At 50.5% G+C, this 12,715-nt stretch overlaps 1 annotated feature.

Moving 5' to 3' along the window:
- Positions 2,926 to 3,454: an enhancer, noted in NCBI's record as "H3K4me1 hESC enhancer chr8:144175908-144176436 (GRCh37/hg19 assembly coordinates)". NCBI's record gives its function as "activates a minimal SCP1, AML or CMV promoter by ChIP-STARR-seq in primed H9 embryonic stem cells {active_cell/tissue: H9 hESC(primed)}" and the evidence as "EXISTENCE:reporter gene assay evidence [ECO:0000049][PMID:30033119]".

Raw genomic sequence — 12,715 nt, forward strand, 5'->3', positions numbered from 1 at the left:
TAAGAGATACAGAAAACTTTTGAGAATGATAAGATCTGGACATGCTAGATGAAATCAAAGCCCTGGATGTCCTTGTTCAAGCTTCCAGGGTTGAGTGCCTGAGTGCCTGAGTGCCGGGGGCATGTGGCGTCCATCACGCTCACAGGGTGAGAGCCGAGGAAGCAGTTTGTTTCACTGAACATTAACTTGAGAAAACAAACTGTCCTCCCCACATTTTCTCAGCCTTGGTCACTGTCCTTTCAGGAGCTCAGAGACTTCTGGGTCTGCTCCCAGTCTTCATGGTCCCTGGTGTCCCCACAGTGTGGAGCCCCTTGCCCTACTTTTGGGGACTGTTAGACAAAGAGGGGATGCATCAGAGCTGAGGCTGGGGCTGAGTCTGGAAGGGGGTGGACCTGCATCTCACCCCGGGCTGTGATGGCTGCATCCTCCTCCTTGGGCCTCCAAGGTTGCTGCGTAAGAACCCCAGGAATCCTCCCCAGTACCTCTGTCCTCTGTCAGGCCCAGCCCAGGTCTGAGGGAAGGGGCAGGAGGGGGATTCAGGCGAGGGTCCCTGGGATGCAGACCCCTGTGAGGATAGGGCTGGAGGGGCCAGGAGGACACATCCCAGTGGGCACAGAGGAGGCGTCCAGGGGCAGGACCAATGGTTGAGGGGAGAGAGCAGGGGTCGGGGCCCTGGCGAGGTTCTGCCTCTGCTCCCAGTGTAGACCTGCTGCCTGCGTAATGGACAGGGTTCTCCTGATCCTGGGGCCCATGCTGGTGTATGCAGAGAAAGGTGAAGACACCAGGACGGGGTGGAAGGAAAGGCCAGCTGTGTCTCTGTGGTGTAAGGCGCATGTTTCCTTGAGGACAACGCAGGCCTGCTGTGCTGAGTGCATTTTGCCCTGTGACCCTGCAGCGGAGTGGGATGCTATGTGGCTTCACACCCACGGCTGTGAACACCGGCCCCAGGGTGGAGAATGTGTGCTCAGGGTTGAGGGTGTCACCTGAGGTGCTATGAGCTTGGGGTCTTTGGGCATCTTCACATGGTAGTGGCTGGGCCCAGACCCAGGTGTGCTCGGAGCCCATGGCTCTGCCCTCACCCCTCCTCCTGCAAACTGAAGCCTGTCATGCTACCACTGCCTCCACACCAATGCCAGCAGGCCTACAAGCCAGTCTCCTGCAGTGCCCAGGAAAGCCTGGGTTTCTTCCAGCTTGCGGTGGTCCACACAGGGCAGGGCCAGCCGGGACAGTCCCTGGAGAGGGTGGGGGTGGGCTTCTGAGCTCCGTGGTTCCCTCCACGGGCTCCTGCCCAGCTGTGAGCAGGGCCTGGGGGTCCAGGGTTAGGGGACCTAGACTTTGAGTTCCGGCCTGGGCAGCCTCCCCTCCCTTCATCCTCCTCGTGGACTCAGCTGGGGACTCCATGCTGGGCCTCTGGATCCCTTAGGAAAAGCAGGCCGTGGGATGCCACATACGCCTGGAGGGGAGGGGAGCAGCCAGGAGTCCAGAGAGCCAATGACACCCATCTCTTTTGGGGTGACCAGATAGAGAATTGATGTACATTCCAATTCCATGGGAGGACCCTGGGTAACAGGAAGTCCTCTCCCTGCTCTGGTTCCAAAGGGCATAAGCCACAGTGCAGTTCAACTCTCCACTCTACAGCAGGCACCAGCGGGCATCCCCGGGACACAGGCACCAGTGGGCATCCCCAGGACATGCCAGCCATGTGTCTCTGTCTTCTTTCATTCTTATTTATTTGTTTATTATTTTTATTTTGTAGACATGGGGTCTCACTATGTTGCTCTGGCTGGTCTCAAACTCCTGGGCTCAAGTAATCCTCTGCCTCAGCTTCCCAAACTGCTGGGATTACAGGCATGAGCTGCCGCACCGTCACCCTCCTCTTTCTTTGTGATAATTTCTGAGTATTTTGGGGGCTAGCAGGTGCAGAGCTGGCTTGTTACTTTCAAAGGCCTCAAAGCCCCACCTGGCCAGGCCGCCACCCTGCTGTACGTGGTTTTGCATCCTCTGTCACCCGTCTAGATAAGAGAGGCACATTTTGAATTTTGGCTGCAAGCCACCTTCCCTCAAAAACTCCCTCGCTGATGTGCTGATGGGCATGCAGCCCTCGGCACGCCCGTGGCCCTCCCGGCACCATGTCCTCTTCTCCCAGTGGTTTGGGGTGATGGCTGGTGGTCTTATATTTATTCATTTATCTTTGAGATAGGGTCTTGTTCTGTCACCCAGGATAGAGTGCAGTGGCACGATCATGGCTCACTGAAGCCTTGCCCTCTCAGACTCAAGTGATCCTCCCACCTCAGCCTCCCAAGTAGCTGGGACAACAGGCACGTGCCACCACACCCAACTTATTTATTTATTTATTTATTTATTTATTTATTTATAGAATGGGGGTCTACTATGTTGCCCAGGCTGATCTCCAACTCCTGGCCTCAGGGGATCCTCCCACCTTGGCCTCCCAGAGTGCCAGGATTACAGGCATGAGCCACTGCACCCGGCCAGCCAGCTGGGGCTTTGACAAGCATTGAACTCCAGCCCTCTTGGGCGGGCTGTTCCTGTCTGCCATCTGCTGTGGTCATCTTCTCAGACAACCACCTCACCGCTCCTTCGGCATCTGCTCCTCCTTCCTCCTGTTTTGAAGGAAGTTTTGTATAAACGGAGACTGCAGCTTCCCTGGATGCAGCTCGTGCTGGTTTCTACCCCTCCCCTCTGTCCTTCTGGGTCCAGGTTTAGTGGCAGCAAAGCCCCCACCTGGGTGAGCCCTGGGCAGGTCGGGAGGGAGGTGGGCTGCAGGGGTGGCTCAGCCCTTGGGACTGACTAGGACTTTAAAGATCCTGTTTCTTCCCTATCCAGCTGTGCGGTGCTTCCTGCGGATAGGGACAGCAGATCCCCAGGCCTCCTTCAGCTGGAAAACGTTCTTCTTGAGTGTAGGATGTGATGTTGGCACCTCCTGCTGTGCCCGCATGAGCCTTCCTTCTCTTTCAGGGCCGTTCCAGGTTTTCCTTTGTGCCTTGTCAGGAGGGTCCCCTATAAACAGACACAGTGGCAGAGGCCTCTCCAGACATCTCTGTCACATCTGTGCACGCAAGCAGGACCCAGCCAAGCCTGGGTCGGATGCCCGCAGGCACTGGGAGACCACCTGCTGCTCTGAATTCTGCCCCCAGGTCCAGGGAGGTCTGGGAAATCTGTCCTCCCTGGTCCTCACCTCCTCCGGGAAAGCCGGCTTCTGTGCTGTCCCTGGAGGCTCAGGGCTGTGAGCCCGGCCTTCTCTCTCCCCAGGGTCAGAACAAGTGACAGAGGTCACCAGGGGCTGCACCAACAACCGCATCGTCTCGGCCCGTCCCGGCTGGGAGGAGTTCACCTGGGACAGCATCCTCTGTGCCAGCGTCTTGTGCTGTTTGGAGACCCTGGGTAACCGGGAAGCCATGGCAGGCAGCGCTGCCCAGGCCCTGCAAGGGGGCTGCAGCTCACCCAGTGGTTAGCACCCTCCCTCCCTGATGCCCGCCCCCCTCATCTGCATGGTCCTTTGATGACCATCTCCACGTCTCATCCCCCATCTCTGTTTGGACTGGTCATGGGGCCTGCCCTCGCAGGTGAGGCTGCCTTGACTCGCTGCCTCCCCCTAACAGTGGAGGGAGAAGCTTCCTCTTGAGCCTGTAAGTCTGGGCAGGTCCAGCCCCCGTCCCCTCCCCCAGGGCCAAGGGGTGGCCAGTGCCCCGGTGTGTGCTTTCTGTTCCAGCCCAGGAGGGCGTCCCCTGACAAAGCCGCCCCTCTGTGCTGTGAGGTGGGAGGAGCCTCTGCCTGTCTACCGGCCCCAGATTCCACGCCCATCGGGGAAGCCCGGCAAAGGCACCAGCACTGGGAATGTGCCCCAGCAAACAGTGAGCAACGAGGAGGGTGAGGAAAGCGAGGAAGGCAGCCAGGACTCAGTGGCAGTGTGGACGCCGATGGCTGGATCATGAGCACCCCAGTGCTGTTCTCATGACAGAGTTCTCACGAGATCTGGGCATTTAAAAGTGTGTAGCACCTTCCCCCTCTCCCTCCTCCCCCCACCCCTCGCCCCCAGCTTTCTCCTGCTACGGCCTGTGACGCACCTGCTCCCCCATTGCCTTCCGCCATGGTTGCAAGCTTCCTGAGGCCTCTAAGCCTCTTTTCTTTATAAATTTCCCAATATTAGGTTTTGTTTTGTTTTGTTTTGTTTTTTGAGACAGAGGCTTGCTCTGTCGCCCAGGCTGGAGTGCAGTGGCATGATCTCGGCTCACTGCAACCTCTGCCTCCTGGATTCAGGCGATTCTCCTGCCTCAGCCTCCCCAGTAGCTGGCATTACAGGCACCCACCACCATGCCCAACTAATTTTTGTATTTTTAGTAGAGATGGGTTTTCACCATGTTGGCCAGGCTGGTCTCAAACTCCTGACCTCAAATGATCCACCCACCTCGGCCCCCCAAAGTGCTGGGATTACAGATTACAGGTGTGAGCCACCGCACCCAGCCAGGTATTTCTTCTTCTTCTTCTTCTTTTTTTTTTTTTTTTTTTTGAGATGAAGTTTCACTCTTGTTGCCCAGGCTGGAGTGTGGTGGTGCGATCTTGGCTCACTGCAACCTCTGCCTCCTGGGTTTAAGCGATTCTCCTGTCTCAGCCTCCCAAGTAGCTGGAATTACAGGTGTCTGCCACCACACACGGCTAATTTTTTGTATTTTTAGTAGAGACAGGGTTTCACCATGTTGGCCAGGCTGGTCTCGAACTCGTGACCTCAGGTGATTCACCCAGCTTGGCCTCCCAAAGTGCTGGGATTACAGATTACAGGTGCAAGCCACCGCACCCAGCCAGGTATTTATAACGATGTGAGAACAGCCTAACACAGACATTATATAAAGAGAAAACTGCACACAATGTTCTTTATGAACACATAAAAATCCTTCACAAAATACTTGAAAATAGAGTTCAGCAATATATACAAATAATTAAAGACCATGACCAAGTGGAGCTTTATTCCAGGGATGCAAGTCTGGTTCAATATCCAAAAGTAATCAATGTAGTTCATCCTATTAGTAGGCTAAGGCACAGGTATACATATGTAACAAACCTGCACATGGTGCACATGCACCCTAAAACTTAACGTATAATAGTAATAAAATAAAATAAAATAAAATAAATAGGCTAAAGAAGAAAAATCACATGACCACGTCAAAATGCAGAAAAAGCACCTGGCAAAATTCAACATCACTCATGATTTAAAAAAAAAAAAAAAAAAAAAACAACTCTCAGAAGAAGAGGAATCAAGGGGAACTTCATCAACTTGATAAAGATCATCTACAAAACACCCTCAGCTCACACGCTTGCTAATGAAAGACTAGATGCTTTCCCCTAAGATCAGAAACAAATGAAGAGCATCAGCTCTCACCACTAGCGTTCAACACAACACAGTGCTGGAAGCTCTGGCCGGTGCACACAGCAAGACAAGGAAACCCTCGCGTTCAACACAACACAGTGCTGGAAGCTCTGGCCGGTGCACACAGAGAGACAAAGAAACCCTCGCGTTCAACACAACACAGTGCTGGAAGCTCTGGCCGGTGCACAAAGAGAGACAAAGAAACCCTCGCGTTCAACACAACACAGTGCTGGAAGCTCTGGCCGGTGCACACAGAGAGACAAGGAAACCCTCGCGTTCAACACAACACAGTGCTGGAAGCTCTGGCCGGTGCACAGAGCAAGACGAAGAAACCCTCGCGTTCAACACAACACAGTGCTGGAAGCTCTGGCCGGTGCACACAGCAAGACAAGGAAACCCTCGCGTTCAACACAGTGCTGGAAGCTCTGGCTGGTGCACAGCAAGACAAGGAAACCCTCGCGTTCAACACAACACAGTGCTGGAAGCTCTGGCCGGTGCACACAGAGAGACAAGGAAACCAAAGGCATACACATCAAAAAGGAAGACACGCCCTTGTCCCATAAGCAGATGACTTTGTAGCCCACTTAAAAAATCGTAAGGAATCTGAAATAAATAAGAGCGTCCTAGAACTAATCAGTGAGTTCAGAAAGGTCACAAGAAAGAAGATAAACGTTTGAAAAATCAATTGTATTTCTATGTAGTAGCAGTAAACACATGGGCATCACAATGAAAAATATACTTCTATTTTTAACCACTCAAAAAATGAAGTACTTAGGTGTAAGTCTAACAAATAATGTGCTGGACTTTGTATATGTGTTTTGTACACAGAATTCTGATGAAAGAAAGAAGACGAAGAAAGTAAGTGAAAAGGCGTGCCTTGCTCATAGAGTGGAAGACTCAACATCGTGAAGTGGTGAATTCTCTCCCCAGACTGATTTATGGGTTTAACACAATTCTTATTGCGTCTAACAAAATTCCAAAAAGATATGTCATGAATAAGTACAAGATTATTCCAAAGGATAGATGGAAAGTGATGGAGCTAGAATAGCTAAAATTGGGTAATTTTTAAAGGAAAGAAATTTAATGCCTGTAATTCCAGCACTTCAGGAGTCCAAGGTGGGTGGATCACGAGGTCAGGAGATCGAGACCATCCTGGCTAACACAGTGAAACCCTGTCTCTACTAAAAATACAAAAAATTAGCTGGGCATGGTGGTGGGTGCCTGTAGTCCCAGCTACTCGGGAGGCTGAGGCAGGAGAATGGCGTGAACCTGGGAGGCGGGGCTTGCAGTGAGCCGAGACCGCACCACTGCACTCCAGCCTGGGTGATAGAGCGAGACTCTGTCGCAAAAAAAAAAAAAAAAAAAAAGAAGAGGCTTAATTTGGAAAAAGAGAAAAATGGGGCTAATCCATGTACCTGATTGCAAGACTTCTTATATATAGTAGTTATAATGACCTAGAGAGTGTGGGGTTGGCAGAGGGACAGATACTCAGATTGATGTGGCACAACGAACTGCCCAGAAATAGACCCACACAAATACGCCCTGGGGATTCCTACAAAGATGCAAGTGCGACTCAGTGGAAGACGCATTGCTTTCAAAGTGCGGCGCCACAGCAATGGAAAATCCGTAGGCAAAAAGCAACAACAGACAACAACAAAACTCAACCTAGACCTTGCACAAAAGTGACCTCAAAACAGATCACAAACATGAAATCAGAAAAAAAAAAATTAGGGAAAACAAAACCACAGGAGAACATCTTTGAGATCTGGGACAAGACAAAAAGGTTTTCAGACTTGACACCAGAAGCATGATCCATAAAAAGAAAAACTGATAAACTTGACCTCTTCAAATTTAAGACTTTTGCACTAAAAAAAAAAAAACTGTTAAGAGGATGTAAAGACAAGCTACAGTCTGGGAGAAAATATTTGCAAACCATTTATCCAGCAAAGAACTAGTGTCTAGACTGTATAAAGAACTCTCAAAATTCAACAGTTACAAATCAACCAATTAGAAAATGGGCAAAAGACATGAAAAGGCACTTCACTGAAGAGAATATTTATTCAAAGGAGGGCTTTCCTCATGAAAAACGAATATATAGATAACAAAATATGTACATAAAAAGATGTTCAACAACTTTGTAAGTGAAAGAAATGAAAATTAAAATGCAACAAGATATTATACACACCTATTGGAAAGGCTAAAATAAAAAAATGCCACTGGTGAGGATGTGGAACACTGGATCCGTCACACATTATTGATGTGAACATACAGTAGTAAAAACCCCCTGGAAAGCATTTCAGCTGTTTCTTAAAAAACTAAACATATGGCCAGGCACTGTGGCTCACACCTGTAATTCCAGCAGTTTGGGAGGCTAAGTCAGGCAGATCACGAGGTCAAGAGATTGAGGCCATCCTGGCCAACATGGTGAAACCTCATCTCTACTAAAAACACAAAAATTAGCTGGGCATGGTGGTGCACCTCTATAGTCCCAGCTACTCAGGAGGCTGAGGCAGGAGAATCGCTTGAACCTGGGATGTGGAGGTTGCAGTGAGCCGAGATCGCACCACTGCACTCCAGCCTGGGTGACAGAGCAAGACTCCATTGTGAAAAATAATAATAATAATAAATAAACATACAACTACCATACCACCCAATAATTGCACTCCCGGCCATTTACCTAGAGAAATGGAGACTTATGTTCACTCCCAAACCTGCTGTGTTAGTCTGTTTTCACACAGCTGATTAAGACATACCCGAAACTGGGCAATTTACAAAAGAAAGAGGCTTACTGTACTTACAGTTCCATGTGGCTGGGGAGGCCTCACAACCATGGCAGAAGGCAAGGAGAAGCAAGTCACGTTTTACGTGGATGGCGGCAGGCAAAGAGAGAGCTTGTGCAGGGAGACTCCCGTTTTTCAAAACCATCAGATCTCATTAGACTTATTCACTATCATGAGAACAGCACAGGAAAGACCTGCCCCCTGCTTCAATTACCTCCCACCAAGTCCCTCCCACAACACATGGAAATTCAAGGTGAGATTTGGGTGGGGACACAGCCAAACCATATGACCTAAACATGAATGTTTAGCACAGCTTGATACCAAATACCCCAACACTAGAAGCAACCCAGGTGTCCCTCAGTGGGCAAATGGTTAAACAAAGTGTAACACATCCGTACCGTGAAACACTACTGAGCAATAAAAATGAATGAGCTCTTGACACACCCCAAAGATGGACAGATCTTAAGAGAGCTATGCTGAGGGGAAAACACCAGTCCAAAGAAGTGACATTCTTTCTTTTTTGAGATGGAGTCTGGCTCTGTCACCCAGGCTAGAATGCAGTGGTGCGATCTCAGCTCACTGCAACCTCCGCCTCCCAGGTTCAGACAATTCCCCTGCCTCAGACTTCTGAGTAGCTGGGATTACAGGTGTGTACCACCACACCCGGTTAATTTTTTTATTTTTAGTAGAGATGAGGTTTCACAGTGTTGGCCAAGCTGGTCTTGAACTCCTGACCTCAAGTGATCTCCCCACCTCAGCCTCCCAAAGTGCTGGGATTACAGGCATGGGCCACTGTGCCCAGCCCCAAGAGGTTACATTCTGTAGGGCTCTATTTCTATTTCATGCTTGAAATGACACAATTATAGAAATGGAGAGGAGTGTTCCCCAAGAGTTAGTGGAGATTAGTATTCCCCAAGAATAGATTAGTGTTCCCCAAGAGTGAGGGAGGTCTTGGAAATAGGGGTAGGAGGCGGAGGGGGTGTGGCTATCAAGGACAACAGGAGGGACCCACGTGGTGCCAGAAACGTCTGTGCCTTGCCGCATCGATGCTCATGTCCTGGTTGTGCCGTTGTACTTTTCAGCTTTACAAGATGTTACTATTGAGGGAAACTGGGTGAAGGGCACACAGGACCTCTCTGTGTTATTCCTCACAACTACATGTGGATCTACAATGATCTCATAATTAAAAGTTGTATTTTTAAAAAGTATCCCAGACTTGGTCCCTAGGAGCCCGATCGAGTGGGGTTCTGTGTGCTTTTGAGATATTGCTGCCATCCTCTGAACTATTCCTTACTTTCCAACCATACGAGTCTTGGTGAAAAGGTGGAGTGACCAGACCATTCCTGCTCTGCTGGTGAACATGGAAAATGCTACAACCACCTTTGAAAATAGTTTGGCAGTTTCTTAAAAAGTTAAATATATGCCTGCATATGGTGCAGCCATTCCACTTGTGGGTATTTAGCAAAAAGCAATGAAAGCCCACATCCTTAAAAAGACCTGTATGCGAATGTTCGTAGCAGGCTTACTTGTAACGGACAGAAGCTGGAAAGACTCGAAACACCCACCAACATGCAAATGAGTAAACAAAGTGTGCTCCATCCAAGAATGGAAGACTGCCCAGCAATAGAAAGGAATTAACTGCTGATACACGCGGCCATGCAGATGAAGCTCAGAATAAGTAAGTCAGAGAAAAACACGTGTCTTAACTGAATGATTCCAGTTGGATAAAATTCCCGAAAATGCAAACTAGTCTACGGTTAAAGAAAGTGAGTCAGTGATTGCCTTGTGGGGTAGGGAGGGAAGGGAGGAGGAATTACAGAGGGGCAGGAGGAGGTTTTGAGAGTGGTGGATCCATTCCTTACCTCCATCAGTGTGCTGGTTCACCATGCAAGTGTCAACAATTATCAGGCTGTACACTCTAAACTTTACAGTTTATTGTATGTCAATTATATCTCAATAAAGCTGCTAAAAACAAAAACAAGTCTGAGAAATATGCAGAGAAGAGTGTGATGATAACTTGACTTCCCAACATCCCAGGTCAGAGAACAACAATGCAAGAGGCCTGATGCTGTGCTCTGAGCTCCTCACGGAGAAAGAAGTCCTAGGGCTCTGGGCCCCGTGCTTTGGAGTCAGAGCCACCTGAGCTGGCTTCTGCTCTGCTCATCCCTTTGGTCCCAGGCACCACCAGGCTTGTGCCGGGAGTCGGTGGCGATGGCGGGAACAACATCCCGTGCCCCTGTCCAAGGTGCTGAGCAGACGACGCAGGCCCCTCTTGAGCCCCTGGACTTGGTGGCGACAGGCTTAGGACCCACAATGACTGCAATGCTCTAGGTGCTCACCCAGGACCCCCAGCGCCAGGCAGACCAGGACCAGGCAGGGCTCAGGCTGCGTCAGAACCTCCCCAGAGGCACAGCAAGTTTATGGAAGCAAGTGCTCATGTAGACAGGCGCTAACGTTTTGTTTCTCTGTCTCCGTGGGACCGTGAGCTCCTCAAGGCAGACGGGGCCTGACGAGCACCTCCACTGCCTGAGGGGCCCCCTGGGGTGCCTGTGGGTCCTGTCCTGTCACCCTCTTTTGCTGACACACGTTAATCCTACAGTCCACTGTGTGAGGAGGTGATGACTCCGAATTGGGGTCTCTCTGACCATTTACAATCCCACTCGTCAGCAGAAAGTGTCTGCCGGGGTGAGCTGGGGCTCAGTCTGGAGAGTGGTTTGCCTGTGGACCAAGCACATGCTGGAGGCGTGAGGCAGAGAGGTCCCAAAGGGGTGAAAGGCATTTCTCTTAGTGGTGTCAGCTCTGCCCTCTTGAGGTCCTGCTATGAACACTTGAAGCTCCCTCATGTCCATCAAGGAACTCTGGAACCCAAAGACCACCCAGCTAGTCCAGGATCTCAATGGCCTGGGGCTGGACCCAAGGTGGTGAAGGTGTTATTCCCCTGGTTAGGGAGACTTGCCAGCCCAGAGAGGTGTGTGTGTGCAGCGGAGTTCCAGGTTCCTGTTCTGGGCAACCAGACTTGGGTCTGGCCCCAAGGAGCCCCTTGGGCTCTGCTGCAGCAGACGCCAGGGAAGAGCTAGACCTCACAGTGCAGCAGCCGTGTCAGCACAGGCTCCACGATGTGGAGCCACACATCCCCCACTCCGCTGTCGAGGCCGCCTGCACCATCAGAGACTAGGATAGGCCACTCTGGGGGTACCTTGTGCACTTGACTGGCGGGAGAGACCTCTGCTGGGGCTGCACTTACTAAGCATGTAGCTAGGACACAAATATCTCCACATTTGGGCTCATTTAGAGACGTCTACCCACTAGCTATTCCCTGAGACCTTCCAGCCCACAGGGTTCCCTCCCAGACCCTGGTTGTCCAGGCCAGCCCCTTTGGGTGCTGAATCAACATAGAGCTACAGCTCTGTCCCTTTCTCCTTCCAGGCAAAACCATACCAGGTGAGTCCCACAGGTTCTGCTCATAAGGTGGACTTTCCCCTCTCCCCTCGTAATCACCTGATCAAGGACAGTTTGATAGCTAGGGTTTTTCAAGGTTTTCTCCATATATTTCCAGGATAGTTTGGTGGGCAGGGGGACTAGGGGAATGGGTGCTGCTGATTGGTTGGGGATGCAATGATAGTCTGCCTCTGGGTGAGGACCACAGGACCAGTTGAGCCAAGAGTTGACGGTCCCGGTGGGGCCATCCGGTTGTCAGAAATGCAAAAGCCTGAAAAGACATCTCGAAAGGCCACCTTAGGTTCTACAATAGTGAAGTTATCTGCAGGAGGAATTGGGGAAGTTGCAAATCTTGTGGCCTCCAGAGCAATGGCTGGTAATCGTATAACTATGCCCACATCTTAGCAGAATTCAGGTCCCTCTCATCCTCCTAACCTGGCAGTCTTTCATTCGTTTTTCAAAGGTGATTTAGTCTGGGGAAAAGGTTAGTGCAAAAGTAATTGCATTACTTTTAATGGCAAAAAGCACAATGACATTTTCACCAACCCACCAACCTAATAATTTCAACTATAAACTAAATTTTTCCCAAAGTTAGCTTGGTCCAAGCCCAGGAATAACCAAGGGCAGTTTGGAGTTAAAGGCAAGATGAGATTGGTCAGGTCAGATCTCTTTCACCATCATAATTTTCTCACTGTTATCATTTTTGCAAAGACAGTTTCACCCTCTGCATCATTTAGGGCCACCCTTCAAAGGGGGAAGGGTGTGGCCATGTACTTTTGGGTAATGCCAGTATTTCATTAAAAAACATCCAGAAATGAGGCCGAAATATTTTCTTCTCTATAGGGCTGGTCAGAGGGAACAACCTGTGAGGACATCAGTGTGGGGACAGAGACCAAGGAGTGCAACAGGGGTCAGCCGTATCAGCCGTGTGTGAGTCTGAGCCACATACCTCACCCCTCCTGGCTAGTGGGGTGCAACCATGTCAGCCGTGCGTGAGCCTGAGCCACATGCCTCACCCCTACTGGCTAGCAGGGCGCAGCTGTGTCAGCCGTGCACAAGCCTGAGCCACATGCCTCACCCCTCCTGGCTAGCAGGGCGCAGCCATGTACATCTG

This window comes from Homo sapiens, chromosome 8 (genome assembly GCF_000001405.40).
Source record: "Homo sapiens chromosome 8, GRCh38.p14 Primary Assembly".
Taxonomy (NCBI): Eukaryota; Metazoa; Chordata; class Mammalia; order Primates; family Hominidae; genus Homo; species Homo sapiens.